The sequence below is a fragment of the Homo sapiens genome, chromosome 18, assembly GCF_000001405.40.
Source record: "Homo sapiens chromosome 18, GRCh38.p14 Primary Assembly".
In the NCBI taxonomy this organism is placed as follows: domain Eukaryota; kingdom Metazoa; phylum Chordata; class Mammalia; order Primates; family Hominidae; genus Homo; species Homo sapiens.
In genome coordinates, this window is record NC_000018.10 from 26,325,820 (window position 1) to 26,345,027 (window position 19,208).

General features: G+C 38.5%; 1 protein-coding gene across 4 annotated transcripts in view, besides 1 other annotated feature; it reads left to right on the forward strand.

Annotated features, from left to right (window-relative positions):
• The window catches only part of TAF4B (TATA-box binding protein associated factor 4b), a 165,241-nt gene that overhangs the window by 99,375 nt on the left and 46,658 nt on the right, over nt 1–19,208 (forward strand). For all 4 annotated transcript variants that reach the window (NR_121653.2, NM_001293725.2, XM_024451239.2 and 1 more), the window contains 2 exons: nt 1,196–1,321; nt 9,356–9,412. Coding sequence is in view for 3 of the 4 variants with exons in the window: in NM_001293725.2 (NP_001280654.1) it covers nt 1,196–1,321; nt 9,356–9,412 (183 nt within the window). In the remaining variant the exon portion in view is untranslated. The remainder of the gene's footprint in view (nt 1–1,195; nt 1,322–9,355; nt 9,413–19,208) is intronic.
• Nucleotides 12,630–12,824: a silencer, noted in NCBI's record as "fragment chr18:23918413-23918607 (GRCh37/hg19 assembly coordinates)". NCBI's record gives its function as "represses an EF-1alpha promoter that drives an FKBP-Casp9 reporter gene in an ReSE screen in K562 erythroleukemia cells {active_cell/tissue: K562}" and the evidence as "EXISTENCE:reporter gene assay evidence [ECO:0000049][PMID:32094911]".

The window sequence follows — 19,208 nt, forward strand, 5'->3', positions numbered from 1 at the left end:
CTTTTTGTATTAAACATGAAGTAAAATAAGTAGCACTAATATATCCTTGTTCCTTAAACTATGTAATACTCTTTTGATCTAGTTAAATACCAACAATAAAAATTTAATTTAAAAAGAATCTTGGGCATATGAAATCCCTCAGTCACAGTTAATTGAATCAACCATAAGCAGGGGGATAAAACAAAGATGGGAGTGGTACAGTACTCATGATTTCCAGGCCAGGCACTGACTGTTGTTTAAAGACATTCGGTTTTTCTACTATACAGTTTCTCTTGAATATCCGAATTACTGAGATGAATAGATGGCAAGATGTCTTAAACATTGATTAGAAAGCTCTCCCTGTCCCATTGCCTCCTCCAACCCTGTCCCCCACTCCTGCCTATACACACTCATAGAGGAGAAAGGGGCAGCTATATAGGTGAAGAAAATTAGAAAATATTTAGGTGGGAAAGCACTGTTTTACATCCACAGAATAGATTGAGCAATTTGCATTTTATCATTTTATGGAACAATTAAGACAGTTTATACTTCTGTTATGGCTGTCATTTATAAATTGTATACTAAATTTCTTTGACCACAGTTTCTGTCCAAATTCACACCCCTGAGTAATCCTCAAAATAGCATTTCAAGATTTTAATGTTTGCCATCTTAACTTAGATTATATTTTGATAGAAGTTATATTCAGTTGTCAAGGTTAAACCAATCTAATCATGGTAACCAAGGTGATAACTTTCATCTTTGGTATATTTTTTAGTGAGGTGATTGTTTCTTGCTTTTTGTCTTTCAGAAAACTAAGATTTAATTACTTATATTAATGTCTGCTGAGGTAGATAATAATCTAAAAAGATTTTGGTTATTGGTGAATGGGGCACTCTTTAGTTTCTCCTTCCTATTGTTGGAAGGATCTGCTTGGCTTAATTCCTCCCCCTTCACCCCACAATGATGTTTACTAGCAAAGTTCTTTGAAACATAACTGGTTAATCATCTCTCAAATTTTAAGAATGATTAAAGTTTCTTTTCTGGTGGAGTGGATGTAGGGGGATGTTTGCTTAATAGAAACAAAATCATTACCTTCTGAAAGTTCAGCTTCCTATTTATGTTGGTATTCCTGCCTTTAGCAGGTTTATACAATACCTAATGTAGAATGTGTGGCCCAGGATCATTATAAGACTTTCTGTTTTCTTTTTTTTCCCAGGCAAGTGAAAATTACATCCTGTGTAGTGATACCAGGTCACAGCTCAAATTTCTTGAAAAGCTGGATCAATTGGAGAAGCAGAGAAAGGATTTGGAAGAAAGAGAAATGTTACTTAAGGCAGCCAAGGTAAGGGCCAGTGTGATTTATGAGTGAATGTGGCCTGGCAGTGTGGTCAGAGGTGGCTTTATCGTTGGTTGACTGTCTTGGTTTTATTAGGCCTTTAGATTTCTCCAGAGGATTTCCTAAAACGAAATTACTAATAGGATGTCTCACAGCCAGGATGGTGTGGTGGCTTTCAGTTAATTTAGTTTAATGAGTCATAATCTTTTGTCTTCTCACATTTCCTGTGTGCTCTCCCCATCCTCAAACCCAGGTAAAATGTTTCGTAAAATTTCAGGGTCTTTTTAGGAATCCAATTTGATACATGCCAAGTTGAAGTTGATAGGGAAAATTTGGAAAGTAGACAGGAAGGTTATGGGTAAAATTAGTAATTTGGATTTTGTGGAACAAAATACAGGCTGGGTGGAAATAGAGTAAAAGAATAGCGAGGCTTCTTTATTTAATTTTATTTTTGGAGACAGAGTCTTGCACTGTCACCCAGGCTGGAATGCAGTGGCATGATCTCGGCTTACTGCAACCTCTGCCTCCTGGGTTTAAGCAGTTCTCTGCCTCAGACTCCTGAGTAGCTGGGACTACAGGTGCCTGCCACCACGCCTGGCTAATTTTTTTTGTTGTTGTTGGTTTGTTTTTTAGTAGAGACAGGGTTCCACCATGTTGGCCAGGTTGGTCTTGGAACTCCGACCTTGGGTGATCCGCCTGCCTTGGCCTCCCAAAGTTTTGGGATTACAGGCGTGAGCCACCCGCCTGGCCAAGGCTATTTATTTATTTCCCTTCTCCCTTATTTAAACGTTTTCTTGGGCTATTAGTGTCACATGAGGTAAAAGCTAATTCCACTACAGTTTCCATTTTGAAGCTCCACATTTCTTCGTAGGCTTTGGGCCATTGTGAGAAATCTTAAAGGCTGAGCACTGGAGTCTTAATTTTTGTTTTAAGCACATTTGTTTTAATTTCTAGCGTTCTTGATAGCTTCCCTTTTTAGAGTATTTGTTCCTAATCACATAGCAATTACTTTTTTAAAAACTAACGTATTTTGAGGCCGGGCACAGTGGCTCATGCCTGTAATCCCAGCACTTTGGAAGGCTGAGGTGGGCGGATCACGAGGTCAGGAGATCGAGACTATCCTGGCCAACATGGTGAAACCCCATCTCAACTAAAAATACAAATATTAGCCGGGTGTGGTGGTGCACGCCTGTAGTCTCAGCTACTCAGGAGGCTGAGGCAGGGGAGCCTCTTGAACCCTGGGAGGTGGAGGTTGCAGTGAGCTGAAATCGTGCCACTACACTACAGCCTGGTGACAGAGCAAGACTCCATCTCCAAAAAATAAATAAATAAAAACAAAACAAAAAAACTCCAGAAAAACCTAATTTATTTTGAAATTATTTAATACAGAAAAGTTGCCAAAACTGTACAAAGTACTCTCAGTCCCCTTTCCCAGATCCCCCCAATTTTAACATTTTACTGCATTTGCTTCATCTCTACCATTTTTGTTTTATTTTTTTGTTTTTTGAGCAATCTCTCTCTGTAGCTCAAGCTAGAGTGCAGTGGCACAATCTCGGCTCACTGCAACCTCTGCCTCCCAGGTTCCAGCAATTCTCCTGTCTTAGCCTCCTGAGTAGCTGGGACTACAGACGCTCACCACCACGCCCGGCGAATTTTTTGTATTTTAGTAGTGACAGGGTTTCACCATGTTGCCCAGGGTGGTCTCGAACTCCTGAGCTTGATCCGCCCACCTCAGCCTCCCAAAGTTCTGGGATTACAGGACTGAGCCACCGTGTCCAGCCTTATCTGTACCCTTTTCATTACCCTTTCTACACATACAATCATTAATCCCCTCCCTGTTTTCCTCCCTTCTTGCCTTCCCCACTTCCTCTCTTCCTCCCTTTCTTTCTTCTTCTCTCCTCCTACCTTTCTTTCCTCTTTCTCTTTCCTTTTCTTTCTTTTTGAGACAGAGTTTCACTCTGTTACTAGGCTGGAGTACAGTGATGTGATCGTGGCTCACTGCAGCCTTCACCTCTCAGGCTCAAGCAATCCTCCCACCTCAGCTTCTTAAGTAGCTGGGACTACACGCACACACCACTACGCCTGGCTAAATTTTGATTTTTTGTAGAGACAGGATCTCCCTACAGTGTTCAAGCTAGTCTCAAATTCCTAGACTCAAGCAGTCCTCCTGCCTCAGCCTCCCAAAGTGCTGGGATTACAGGCATGAGACACTGTGCCCAGCCATTTTTCTTTTCTTAAGCTTTTTGAAAGTAGTCTTCAGACATGATGTTCCACCACTCCTGAACATTTTCATATGTAACACTATCATCTAATGCACAGCACCCATTCTGATTTCACTAGATGGCTTAACCATGTCTCTCTTTCATGGTCCATTTTCCCATTCAGGAATTTGTATTTCATGTAGTTGTCATCTCTTTTCAGATTCTTTTAGGGTTTCTCAGTCTTTCTCTTTTATGCCCTTGACAGTTTCCAAGAGTATAAGCCTTACCTTCTGTAGGATGACCTTCAACCAGGGCTCATCTGATCTTTCCTTATGATTTGACTTAGGTCAAGCATGCTTGGCAGGAATGCACAGAAATGATGCTGCACTCTTCTCAGCTGATCATTTCAAAAGGGTCATATTGGTACCTACTAGTTCTCTCCATTTTAAACTTGCCATCTCCCCCACTTTTTGATTTTTATTTTTTTGAGACAGGGTCTCACTTTGTTGCCCAGACTAGAGTGCAGTGGTGTGATCACTGCTCACTGCAGCCTTGGCCTCTTGGGCTTAAGCAATCCTCCCACCTCAGCCCCCCAAGTAGTTGGGAATACAGGCACATGCCACCACACCTGGATAAATTTTTTAATTTTTTAGAGATAGAGTCTCACTATATTGCCCAGGCTCATTTTTCCCTTTGTAATCAATTAGTTTTTCATAGGACGGCATTCTAAGATGATACCAATATCCAATTCCTCATCAAACCTCCGTGTGTTAACCATAACATCTGTTGTGATGTCTGCCTAAATCAGCTACCTCTGTCATGGTTGCAAAATGTCAATTTATTCCCATGAACTCTCCTCGTTTTATTAGCACCCTACCATGTGGAAGAGCTTTCCTTCTTTATTCATATTAGTATGGGCTAATGATTTCTCTTTGTCTCAATAGGTTGTAATTCATTACTGTCATTTATTTTGTTGCTCAAATTGCCCCTGAGTGGAAGACCCTTCCAGCTGGCCCTTCTGTCCCTTAGTCATGTGTCCATCCATCACTCACTGAGCATGTCCTCACTTTCAGGCACAAGGCACTCCAGGCCCAGCTTATACTTTTCGTGCTCTAGCCCCAAATTCAGCCATTTCTCTAAGAAGCCTGCCTTCTTTTCTGTTGAGGATGACATTCAGAAACTGAGCTTAGGTCATACGGTATACTCATTGCTAAAAGGGTGTCATTACATCTAGGCCTTCTCAATGGACAGATCTAGGAAATGTATATATGGTATGTGTATATGTACACGTTTATATATATACACACAAATGTCCATCTGTAACTATTTCTATATCTGTGTATATATTATAAAACCGTGAGTTCATATGGATACCTGCAACTCCAATCCAGTGCCTCAGAGTTCCTTCTACCCTTAATCTCTCCATGTTTGTAAAAACATTCTCCAGTCTTGAGAAACTTGGTTCCCATTATCCTTGATATATTTAACTTATGTCCTCTATCAGTTATTTAATCAATGTAACTAATCTCTCAACTAGCCATGCTGGCTGACTCCTCTGTCTGCTACTACTAATATCCCCACCCCATTTCATTGTCTGTGTAATTGGCCACCATGCTCACAGACCCATTCCTTGATGAGACCCCCACTCCCTCACCACCTTGTATTCTTCACCACTGGCCTATACCTTCACATGCCCCAGCTCCCCGTAAGGATATGGAGCACCACAGCCTTGTCACTGTGCTGCTTCCTGCTGTCCTACAGTCCCAGTCCCCACATTGACACCCACTGCACTGGGAAGAGCAGGAAGGTGGGACAGAAAGATGCTCTTTCTTGAGCCCTCAAGTGTTATAAGTAAGCACTTAGTCATTGTAATGAGGTGGTTTATTGGTATTTTATTTCCACTTACTGTGCTGTAAACAAGGTCATAAACTATTAAATACTAGTTTAGTTATTATTGAATATCATAATGTATTATACTTGCTCTTTATCTCCTTTGGCTTTTCCTTCTTTACCAGATGTCTAAATGTTGGATTTAGTAGTTTTGAATCCTATGCCACCTTCTCTGTCTTCATTCCCTTTTAAGTTTGTATCTCCATTTCAGCCTGCATTATGAAAATCTGGACTCATACCATTAACTCCCTACTTGACATGACTTCACTGGCTAATAGTTATTTCAAAATCAATATGTCCAAAACAGCTCCTGTTATTCCTCTCCCCTCTAAATACCTTTTACTCTTATAGATTTTCTTGACTCAATAAATTACACCACCATCTTCCCAGATGTTCAAGCTGAAAAACATAGGCATCATCTTTAACTCCATTCTGTGTCTCCTCTCTCTCCACATCCAAACCACCTCCTATCTTATTTCTAAAATGCACCCAACTTTTCTTCATCACTATTGTCATTACTCTAGTCTAATTCATCTTTCACTTGGACTTTCATACTAACTTCTAAGTAGCCTTCTTTTCCTTCTACAGTCCATTCCTCTATTTCTCCTACTGTGGTCAGAATAATGTTTTTATAACAAATCATGTGTGTCTCTTTTGCCTAAAAGCCTCCAGTGGCTTCCTGTTGCACTTAAATGTAAACTTCTTACCAAATTTTAAAAGGCCTTATATTGTTTGGCACCCACCTACCTCTCTGAGCTTGCCTTGTCAACTACTCGCTCCAGGCACACTGACCTTTCTGTTCCTTGAATGTGCCCAACTTAGGATATTAGACTTCTAACTAGGCATCTTGAACTGACCATTGAGTTCCCTTCCCCTAAGTCTGCTTTTTCTTAGATCTCTACTCTCTTAGAAAGTTGCAATTACCATCCTCCAAGATGCTTGGGACAAAATCCCAGGAGTCATCCTTGATTCCTCTCTTTACTTCATAACTGACAACCAGCCCGGCAGCAAATCTGATCAACTTTACCTGCAAAGATATGTTTTGAATGCAACCATTTATCATCTTCTGTGCTTTGATGCTAGTCCACGCTTCCCTTATCTTCTTTCCAGTCAGTCTCTTCTTCACAACAGTTGTTTTAGAGCAGTCTACAAATTGCTCTGCGTGCCTTTCCGTTCAATCTTGGATCCCTACAGTGCACCCTCTACAGAGTGGCCAGAGCCTTTTGTTTTGTTTTGTTTTGTTTTTTTTAAAGTGTTACATCAGTGACATCTCACCCCTGTGCTCCAAACACGCCAGTGGATTTTTGTTGTTGTTATTGTTTTTGAGACGGAGTTTTGTTGTTGCCCAGGCTGGAGTGCAATGGGGTGGTCTCGGCTCACTGCAACTTCCGCCTCCCAAGTTCAAGCATTTCTCCTGCCTCAGCCTCCTAAGTAGCTGGGATTACAGGTGCCCGCCACCATGCCTGGCTACTTTTTGCATTATTAGTAGAGACGGGGTTTCACCATGTTGGCCAGGGTGGTCTCGAACTCTCCTGACCTTTGGTGATCCACCCACCTCAGCATCCCAAAGTGCTGGGATTACAGGCGTGAGCCACCGTGCCCAGCCCAGTGGATTGTTTTTATAGCTGGAATTAAAGCCCCAATTCCTTATCATGGCCTACAAGGCAACACATGATCTCCAGCCTTTCTCTTTCACCTTTTTTCTATGCTTCAACCACATGGACCATCGTTCTTTCCTCGAGTATATTCCCATTTTAAGGCTTTAGCAATTACTGTCCCTTCTGCTTGGAATGTTTTCCTCCAGATCTTTGCATGACTACATCTTTTTTGTTGTTTAGATATCTACTCAAATATCACTTCTCAGAGATGTCTTCCCTACTATCCTAGCTACAGAAGTACACACCACACTTCTCTATCACATTATTCTATTTATTTTCTTTATTTTTGTTTTTAATTTAATTTTTAAATTATATATATTTTATTTTTAAATTGTTATTATTATTATTTTTTTTGGAGACAGGGTCTTGCTGTGTTGCCCAGGCTGGAGTGCAGTGGCCCCATCTCAGCTCACTGCAACCTCTGCCTCCCAGGTTCAAACGATTCTTAGGTCTCAGCCTCCCAAGTAGTTGGGACTACAGGTGCATGCCACCATGCCCAAATTAAATTTATTTTATTTTGAAACAGGGTCTCATTCAGTTGCCCAGGCTGGAGTGCAGTGGCATGATAATAGCTCTCTACAGGCCTTGATCTCCCAGGCTCAAGCTGTCTACCCACCCACCTCAGCTTGCTGAGTAGCTGGGACTATAGGCACGTGTCACTATGCCTGGCTAATTTTTTAAATTTTTAGTAGAAATGGGGTCTTGCTGCATTAGATAGGCTGGTCTCGAACTTGAGCTCAAATAATTCTCCCACCTTGGCCTCCCAAAGTACTGGGATTACAGGTGTGAGCCACTGCCTCTAGCCTATTTAATTTCCTTTTATAGCACTTAACAGTGTCAGCAATTATTTGTTTTGTATTTTTACCCATCACTAATATTTTACATATCATAAATGTGTTTCATTTTTATAAAATTTTTTATTTTTCTCTTCTTAAAATGTAAGTTACTTGAGTTACTACAATTACTTTGTCTCCTTATATCATCTGTCTCCAAAGGCTAGAACAGTAGCACACAGAGTAGAATCTGTACTATGGATGACCAATAAATATTGGGTGACTGACAAAGACTTGATACTGAAATGTGCCCATTTTATATTGGGGCAAAATATTATATACACACCCACATATATATGTATATATATATAATGCATATTTTAATATAAATACATATATACACAGACTCATTCTCTGGTGATACTATAACTAGAGTAACAAAAGAGTTTATCTTTTCGCTTGAAATGAAATTTTGTTAGTAGATTGGGGACTAAAATGAAGAAAAATTTTACCAGCTTTGGGTTGAATTTTGTGTAGATATTTAAGATGTTTGAAATTAGTAGGCACTCAAATTTAAAGACTATCTCTTATATTTTCCTTTAACCAAAGGTTCTGGTAAATCAATAAATGTATCAGGTAAACTTATTAAATATGAAAATACTTTTAGCTTTTATTTAGTTAGCTATCTAGATATTACCTTAGTTAACGAAGGTTTCATTTTATGGAACAAATACTCAGATTTATAAGCAATTAAATAACTTTGTCATGGTGAGAAAAAAGGATATACGTATCCCAAACATGTTTTCCAGTGGACAGATATTCATGGTGTCAGAAATAAAGTTCCCTACCCTTTGTTCCATCATAGCTTGATACATAGAAAACAGCTCTCTTCTTATGCCAGTTCTGTATTATGGAAGGCGACATCCAATAAACAATTATTGAACATGGTGCACAGCATTCTATTAAGTGCTATAGAGGACCCAAAGATGATAAGACATTCTAATTAAAATACTGAGATGTATTTTCTACTTATAATTTTAGAAATTATACCTTTAAAGAGAGATTTGGTTCAAGGTTAGTCAGGTTCTTGATTTTAATAGTCCTCGAAATACCTATGTTTTCCCAAATGGCTTCACCTGAAGATCAGCCAGTATTGATTGTTTTTATTCATTTAAACCAACAATTACTCTTTTTTTCTTTTCCTTCATCTGTACCACCAATTTTTTAGTTTTCAGTGTTCCTACAAGAACAACGTCATGCCTCAACTGGACCTGACTGACATCGTTAGCATCATTTTCAGTATAAGCTTCCTCCAGGCTAGAACTGCAGCAGCCAGCCCAGATGATGAGGGGGCAGGGGAAACCAGGGTGGGAGTGCAGCTAGACTGGATTGAGGTATTTTCCCCTGGAGCTAAGATATTCAATCACAAGAGAAAATTGTCATTTATTAAATATTTAATGGCAACTATGGTGTTCAGATGCTAGTAATTTCTATTAAAATTTTCTTTTCCTTTGATAGAGTCGTTCTAATAAAGAAGATCCAGAACAGCTGAGATTAAAGCAGAAAGCCAAAGAGGTAGGACTTTCAAGTTACCATGCTTGTCTTTGTGTTTGAGGGAAGGTTGGCAGCTCTCTCCTGGCAATTAGGTCAGGGTTTATTTTGCTGTTGCATACCATTTGCAGAAGCCTTGGGGAAGGACAGGAACTGCTAAAGGCAAGGGCAGTACTTCAAATGAGGTCAATGAGTTATGTGCTCTCTTTTTAAAATTTATTTTCAAGGCTTAGGCCTGTCTCGAAATGGGTCTTTGTAAACTACAGCAGCATACTTGGAGGAATATAATGTGAGATTTTAAAAAAAAAGAAACTTTTGAGATTTAGCATCTGGGACTGTACAATAGGCTACATTTTTCCAGGGTAATTGTTCGTTTTGTAAATCTGATACTGCTTATAATTCTTTGGCTGGGAGGCGGTGCTGGGATTTAGTTTTAAATGGAAAATGCCTCTGGCTTTTAATTTTCTGGGCCCAGCAGTTTTCTGTTCTGGAATGGAGCCCTTGTTTCACACAGTTCATGTTTAGCTGCAGGGGTTTTAGTTTATAGCTTAGACTGGTTAAGCTTTTACTCCCAGAGGCCTCTGCATAGCAACTGTAGAAATCAACAAATAAGTTCATTTATGTCTGCAGCCTCCTCTCAGTAGCTGACTTTTTACATTTCCCAATATCCATTTCCTGACTTTTCTAGCCCCAGAGAAAAAAGCTCCACTAATTGGAGCTTATTTTAATTGAGCCTTAATATTGGATCTCACTGGAGTTGCCCCCAGAGCTGCTGAGAACAGAATGAAATGAAAGTACCTAAGGTTGAAGGTGCAGTGTGTGTATGGGTGTGTGTGTGAAATTTTTCACTTGACCTACAGATTCTTTTCCCTCCTGAATAAATCATCAAGCCTGTTCACATTTCTGATTAAGGATCTGACAGCAGATGATAATAAAGACAATTGAGGTGTGAGACGTGTGATATGGAGCTGAAGAAATTGGTTTCTATAGTTACTTCACTGATTTCATGCAATTTTTAAGGATCTTTGTGCTAAATAAGAGTGATTTTCTGAGCAACCTTTTCCCTTAACTGTGCCTCTTGAACTATGAAATTTGTTGTTGCTTAACATTGCTGCAGTTGGCTCCTAGGTGCCAGCAGCAGCAGGTTATTTATGAACGTTTTAAAGGCCCTTATTGTTTGGATTAATGTAGGAATTGAGGCAAAACAAGTGGAAATCTAGTAAGATTCTTACAATCAATGTGGTGTGTTTTCATTAACATAGAGAAGGAAAATACATGAACTCTGGGTGGAGGGATTTCAGGATTGGGACAGGGAACGATGGAAAGGGAGAACACTTTAAAAAAAAAGTTGAGAGCAGAAACATTTTATTTTCAGCAACAAGATATTCCTTATACTGATGTCTTTCCAGTGGAAAATGTATCTAAAATTATTAGTATGAGAACTGTACCTATAATTCTCTTTAAGCAAACCTGGCATGAGGATAGATTATTTAGGGATGGGCAACCTACTGTTGCTCTGAATCATGGGTATCCCACCTTGTTTTAATTAAGGACTGACTAGATGCTTATCTTCTAATTGCATTCCCTTTTTGGAAAATGTGCAACAGAAAGCTTACCCTTTTAACCTTACCCTGTCTGTTCTTCCTTCATAAACCTTCATAAGCATCTGAATCTTAGATTAATTCTTCCTTCAGCTTTGTATGGGATGTTTTGTTTTTGTTTGCATTTTATTTTAGTATGTTGTTTAATAATTCCGTAAGGGATGAATAGGTAGACAACATTTTTCAAAGAAATCTGTGAGAGGAAATGTACCAAAAAAATGCCTCTGTTAATGAGAACAGGTGGTAGCAAACCTGTGTTTTTCTCTTCCTTTGCACCTCCATTTATTTCTTTTTCCAAACAAGGTTAAAGGAATTCAGTATAACTTCTTTCCAAAATATTTTGAAAGTTTTCTGGTTGCTTCCTATCATAAATCCTCTTTGATCAAAAAAATGAATCAAATACATTGGCCTCTTTCCAAGAACAGAGCCACTCTGTTTTGCAAATGTTTGGTGAAAGTCAAATATTGTCATTTTTGTCATTCTCCTGCCCCCTAGAGTTCTTAATAACTTGAGTGTTCTAAGGGGCTGTAGTTCAGAATCAAATACACAGTGGTAGTGTATATTGTTTGATTGCATAAATATTGACCATATCTTTTTTCTTTTCTTTCTTTCTTTCTTTTTTTTTTTTTTTTTGAGATGGAGTCTCACTCTGTCGCCCAGGCTGGAGTGCAGTGGCATGATCTCAGCTCAGGCAGCCTCCACCTCCCAGGTTCAAGCGATTCTCCAGCCTCAGCCTCCCGAGTAGCTGGGATTACAGGCGCGTACCACCGCATCCAGCTAATTTTTGTATTTTTAGTAGAGATGGGGTTTCACTATGTTGGCCAGGCTGGTCTCAAACTCCTGACCTCAGGTGATCTACCCGCTTCAGCCTCCCAAAGTGCTGGAATTACAGGCGTGAGCAACTGTGCCTGGCTAACCATATCTTAATAGGGAGTTGGATTGCTTGCTTGATGGTAATTTGTGAGGTTAGCATTTAGGATGCACTAATCACTATCATGCTGGTATAAACTGTGATGCTTTGGGTTGTGAATTTTTGGTATTTGGCTGTCTGAGAAGTTTTCTTTGTTCACTCATGAATTTTTTATTTAGCACAGATGCCTTATGCTTGCTTGATTTAGAACTGATCTGTTTTCCCTTTCAAACCTACCTACCAGGCTTGTCATAGAAAAAAAGATTACTGGCTATCTTATAAATGCAGAACTTCGAAGAACTGTTTACAGAAGCTGTAGGCTTTATTTATGCTGAGAAATGTTTCAGCAGTGATATTTCTCATATAAATATTAAATCACAATCTGAATCCCCTTCATTCCTAATCTTATCCATATTTGCTTTCAACTGTTAAGGACTAGAATTCTTAAGCCAGGTGTAGTGGCTTACACCTGTAATCCTAGCACTTTGGGAGGCTGAGATGGGTGAATCATCTGAGCTTAGGAGTTCGAGACCAGCCTGGGCAACATGATGAAACCCTGTCTCTACTAAAAATACAAAAAATTAGCTGAGTGTGGTGGTGCACACCTGTAATCCCAGTTACTCAGGAGTCTGAGACATGAGAATCACTTGAATCTGAGTGGCAGAGGTTGCAGTGAGCCGACATGGTGCCACTGGACTGACTCCAGCCTGGGTGACAGAGTGAGACTCTGTCTCAGAAAAAAAGAACTAGAATTTTTTTTTTTTTTTTTTTTTTTGGGAGACGGAATTTCGCTCTTGTTGCCCAGGCTGGAGTGCAATGGCACGATCTCGGCTCACTGCAACCTCTGCCTCCCAGGTTCAAGAGATTCTCCTGCCTCAGCCTCCTGAGTAGCTGAGATTACAGGCATGTGCCACCATGCCTGGCTAATTTTGTATTTTTAGTGGAGATGGGGTTTCTCCATGTTGGTCAGGCTAGTTTTGAACTCCCGACGTCAGGTGATCCTCCTGCCTCGGCCTCCCAAAGTGCTGGGATTACAGGCATGAGCCACTACGCCTGGATCATTTCTCCTGTAGTTTTTCTTTCCTCTAATAAAGTTTTAGAGGCTGTTCATCTTTGCATTCCACATGTAAGGACAAATTGTGTTAAAATGGACAGGTTTTTATAAAAGCATCAAATAATTTCTTTTCATTCTTCCTATCGACTTCTACCAATTTTGTCATTCTCTTTTGGCTCTTAAAAACAGACTGCCTTTGGGTTGGCCTCCAGCCTAGTCTTATTCCATTGAAGAAGTTCCTGCTGCATAGTGTTCTTATTAACCTGACAGGTTTTCTGTCTATTTGAAAACCAGCTGATATGTCTGTGGATATTCCTGTAATTCAAACGTTTTATTTTCAACTTACGGGCTGTCTTCTTTCCCTTTCTCTGTTGCCTGAAAAAACATTATAAGCGTCCTCTCTCTTTTTCTCGCTATTATAACTTTATATTTTCTATACTAGCCCTTTCAAATTCTGAAATGTTTATGATTTTTCTAGATACTTTTCCTAAAATGTAAGTACCTGCATTCTTTCATTTTACCATCTCTTTGTGAAAGTTTTGTTTTAGTTGGTTTTTTTTGTTTTTGTTTTTGAGAAGGGTCTCACTCTGTCACCCAGGCTGGAGCGCAGTGACGCAATCTGAGCTCACTGCAGCTTTGACCTCCTGGGCTCAAGCGCTCCTCCTACCTCACCCTACCAAGTGGTTGGGACCACAGGCACATGCCACCATACCTGGCTAATTTTTTAAATTTTTTGGAAAGTGGGGGTCTCCCAGTGTTATCTAGGCTGATCTCGATCTTGTGGCCTGAAGTGATCCTTCTGCCTCAGCCTCCATAAGTTCTGGGATTACAGGAGTGAGACACTGTGGCCCGCTGAATTGTTTTTTAATAAATAGGTTACTAATTGCTAAACTCTAACTTCAGACAAGCAGGCATATCTTTATTTAATGCAGCTGCAAACTTCTATGATGTGTGTTATGTGTCCTAGATTAAAATCTGGCCCTCGGTATTTTCTTTTCTTAGCACATCGTCCAGAATTTTGTAGAGCTATTTGTCTGACTTTGCAGTTGAAACATTCTGATTTGATAGTTATATATTTTCTGATCCTTATTTCCTTTTGAATTTCTTCTTTCTCCTTTGGGAAATGTGAGTTCAATGCATCTGTGCAGAGTGAGACAAAGAATTCATTTACTTTCTTTTTACCAATTCCTAGCATTCCACTTGGATTTATTATCGGATGGTGAGGGAGAAAAAGGAAATCAAGACCTCCTGGTATATTTGCTTCACAGTGCAACCTATAGGAACTGGGAAAAAGAATAAATACTAAATGATTAAAATGTAGACCAGATTAGAAGCCCTATATCCTAAAGTTTTTGGGATTTTTGTTTATAGAAAATATAGGTTATAAAAACTGTTGGTGCAATTCTTCATAAAACATTGTACAAGAAATAAAATACTGAATCATAAGGCTCATTACTGATTAGAAAATATTTAGGTACGAGAACAGCACAGTATATTTTTAAAATGAAATTTGAAAATATATGAAGTCAATGAAAGGTGATAGGTAAACTATTAAATTATATCAATTTGTATTTAAACTTCATGCAAGTTCTACATGGCCAAAACTCATGGAGTACTGGACAGGGACAAATGAAACTTGTCATGAAAAGTACATTCTAGCAATCAAATTAATATAGCAAGAGGAAGACATTCTTAAAATGACAAGTTATAAATAACTTGTGTATGACAGCAGAGAAACAGATTGAAAGGTTTCAAAGCATTGATAGTCTAGGACAGTGGTTCTCAAACGTTGACATGCATAAAATTATCTGGAGAGCTTGTTAAAATACAGATTACTAGGTCCCACAACCAGAGTTTATAATACTGTAGTAGGTCTAGGGTAGGACTTGAAAATGGGATTTCCAATAAATTACCAGATGTTGCTGCTATTGCTGCTGCTGCTCTGCAGATCACACTGAGAATCATTGATCTAGGATGAGAAAGAAGGGGGGCTTTAAAAGTCATCACTTTTATTTTCCCACTAACTAAATGGTCAAAATACTGTGATTTGGGAATCTGAGATTTGGCCTCTTGAACTGTCATAGTTCATTTATCATCCAATTATCATTCATTAGGTTCTCTTGGAACCATGAAAGCTTCACTAGGTTTCCTTCATGGATATTTTTACAAGATAACTTTAATGGTAGTATTTCTTTACTGGTATACCTTAAATGGAAAAGAAAATATTAGAGATTCATAAGAAGATTGCGTGCATACTTTATTTTGATGTGTAGGATCTATGTGTTTTGAGAGACTTATTACTCTCTTAGTAGAAAGATGCCTGTTTAAAAAAAAAATAGCATTGAACTGGAAGTAAAGTATCTTGGATTCTAGATTCAGGCTGCCATTATCAAGAGCTTGATTTAATTCTTTGAACTTACCTCTGTTTCCTCATATTTAAATGAACTTAACGATTCCTGCTCTGCTTATAAGATTGTCATAATTTAGGGGAAGGCGAGGCATAAAAGAAAAAACCAGTAGTTTATAAACACTAACTGTAGGAACATTTAAGATAGATGTCATTGAGCTCTTAGATTTAGGTTTGAGATAGACCATGAATATGTTCTTTCTTTCCTTCCAGAGGACTGGAAAGAAAATGAGAAGAAAAAAGAGTGTAAGGATGACAACTGAAAAAAAAATTTTGTAATATAGAATAACTGTAGCACATTTATATTTTACACAATTTATAAATCAAATGTTATTGGTTTAAGTTAAAGAGAGAAGGTGTCTAATTGAGATTATGAGGAATATACCATTTTTTTCAGGAAGGTAGGGATGGATGAGTAGGGTTGACCAGCAAGGCACCACAGTTTACGTATCAAATTCCAGGAATCTCAGATGTTCTGGACAGTGTCCTGGTATCATAATAACCAGCCTTAGTGGTTGGGAGAAAAAAAAATAGATTCTAAACTGTTTGATTTGGTGGAATGACTGCTAATAATTGTCTTTGAGGGCTTAAAAAAGATCTTGTATTTCGGTTGTGGTATCCTTGAAGTTAAGATAAGGTGGACTGGTGATTTTTTAAAAATTTGCAACTTGCTTTTTGGTTCCCTTGACTTAAGATTCAGCTGTTAATGTTTAGTAGTTTTTTTTTCCTGTTTGTTTGTTTTGTTTATTTTAGCATTTAACCTTGCATTCCCTGGTAAACTTGATCTTTTAAGTAATGATTCAGATGTAATTATCAGCATTGTTAAGAATTTTAGAGTTTGATCCATGAAATTTTCCAAAGTATATCTAATTCAATTTAAATTTTTACTATTTAAAACATTTCCATTGTTTGGTGTTAGGGTTTTGTTTTTACCTTTATGTGTACTTAACGTTAATTGTGAAATCTAAGCAGGACATTATTCTTAGTTCTTTTATCCTGAGTTCAAAACCTGGTGTGATACACTTTGTTTCTCTAATTTCTTTAGATTTTTTCATACATTCCTATTTGGTGGTGTGATTATTTTCATTGCTACTAACACTTTCCTTAAGCATGAGAAAGAAAAACATTTTTTGATTTCCCATATTGTCTATATCATAACTATCTAGATAAATTTGGTTCTTCCTGTTAAATGTGCCCCTGTTCCTGTCCAGGCTGTTAGCTAATATGAAACTTGGTTTATTCATTCTTCAGCTAGTACCTCTGATTCTGCTTAATCTTTTGGTTTCTGTTTTCAATAGTTTTTAATTTTCCTTTTATTCTTGAAAATTATGTGCTTAGCATCAAGAAGTACGTCTATTGAACGTTACCTCTGAGAACTTGTGTGATCTTCAAAGTAATTTCTTAATGTTTTTTGGGTCTTGATTAAAGGCTGTACTACCATGAGTTATACTTATAAATGAAGAGATGAGTACCTAACACCAGAAATAAAATAATCTTCAATTACTGTTGCTTAGTTGCCTTCTAAGGCACTACCTTGAATTTTAGAGACTTCTACTTCCTATCATAGAGACTGTGAAAAGAGAAATGAAGGCTTCTGCCTTTTTCATTAGCCATAAAGGAAATAGCATATTCTTAAAAGAGAACCTCCCAAACCTGTTTGGTCTCTTTGGAGCAAGGTGTTTGTTGCTGGTGTTGGTGAGCAAGCAGTCTTACATTTTATTAAACAAAGGCTAGTCAGTATATAATATAACAGAAACCAATTGTCAGAATTCTGGCTATTAAAGAGTTCCAGTTAAGATGGAGTAAAAACACTTCATATTTTCTCTCCCACTGAATACAACTATAAAACCTGAACAGATGCATGGAGCAGCTATTTGAGGACATTGAAAGGTAAATAGTAAACAGATTGGGGAAGAAGATAAGAATTCAAAATACTACTTGAACTGGTGGTGAGGTTGCCACCCTCCATCCCCTACCCCCATTCTTCCTACTGCTTGATTCTAGACCTGGATGCAATCACAGACGTGGGTGGGAAAGTGGGCTAAATCCCCAGCTTTCTGGCCAGGAGGAGCTCCAGGGAACCAGAAATTACTGGGAAGATGACAGAGAGGGAGGAGCTCAGGAAAGCAACCCCATGTGATTGTGTTAAACTCCTAGACCTACTCCTGAACTATACATTTGCCATATGTGGATCTTATTCTAATGAGCGTACCAAAGCCTTTAAGAACTGGACCAACAAACCACCACCAGATCCCAGATTGACCACTGGGGGATGCACAGGGCAGATCCAAATAACATTGCAAAAGCTTTGAAAACTGAGCTGACGTTGTAGCCACAGATCACAGAAGTCACATTGGAACCTGTGGCTTGAACCTGTGTTGATTGCATGCTAAAACAAAGGTATTAACATTCTCCAAAGGATTTCTAGAATACCCAGAGTTTCATAATACAGTTGACATAGGTTTGAAGTGTACAGGTCCACTTATATGTGGATTTTTTTCAACCACTTGTGGATGGAAAATACACTATGTGCAGGATGCAAAACCCACATATGTGGAGGGCTGACTTTTCATATACACGAGTTCTGCAGGACTGACTGAGAACTGAATATACATGGATTTTGGTGTACCTCGGCATCCTGGAATCAATCCCCCATGTATACCAAGGGACGACTGTATTCAAAATATTCAGGATACAATACAAAATCACTTGACAGGAAGAACCAGGAATATCTTAACTCCCATAGGAAGAGACAATCAACAGATACCAGCCCCAAGATAACATAGATGTTGGAATTATCTGACAAACACACTACTATAAAAATGCTCCAAGAAGCAAATTATAAACACTCTTGAAATGATAGGAAAAATAGAAACTCCCAGCAAAGGGCTAGAAAATATAAAGAATAAAGTTATAAAATGGAAATTTAGGAACTGAAAACGACAATAACCAAAATAAAACACATTCAGCTGAATGAGCTGAATAGCGGATAGAAATGACAAGAGTCAGTTAACCCAGTCAATAAACCCAGGTTCAACTCACATCATAATCAATCTCTGAAAACTATATAGATGTAGAAAATAAAAATTTTGAAAGTAACTGAAGAAAGGGACACATCAATAGAAGAACAATAATTACAATGACTAGATTTCTCATTAGAAAGCAAATAGAAAAACTATTTTTTTTTTTTAAAAAAAAAGGGAAAAAAACCTGTGGAGATCAGAAGAAAGTGGCAAAACATTTTTAAAAGGAACTTTCAACTTAAAATCCTATATATCATGAAAATATCCTGCAGAAATGAAGGTGAAATAGATATTTTCTGGTGAAGGAAAAGGAAGAAAATTCATTGCCAACAGAGTTGCTGTAAGACTATTAAGGAAATTATTCACAATGAAGTCAGATGACACCAAAGGGAAGCTGAACTTCAGGAATGAAGAAAGCACAACAGAAATGGAAAACATAATAGGCTATTCTGCTTTTGAATTAAAGTATGTTTAAGTGAAAGCAGATTTGAGGACTGACATTGGCAAGATGGCTGACTAGAGATGCCTGGTGCTTGTTTCTTCTACAAAAAAGGACTGAGGCAATGAATAAACAGATAGGATTTGACTAGAATGTCAGAGAGAGCGCTGGAGTGTGGTTGGGGAATGGAGACACACCTATAAATGATTAGAAATCCAGGAGGGCAGCATGAGGGTATCTAGCATCTACAGTCCTGTCTTCCCCACCTGGACTGAATCTGGAGTCAAGAGAGACTTCCCATTGCAGGGAAAAGGCAATCAGAATAACCCAGCCAGCCCCTGTTGCCACCACAAACGCATACAGTCCTTACTACAGGAGAATCCCAC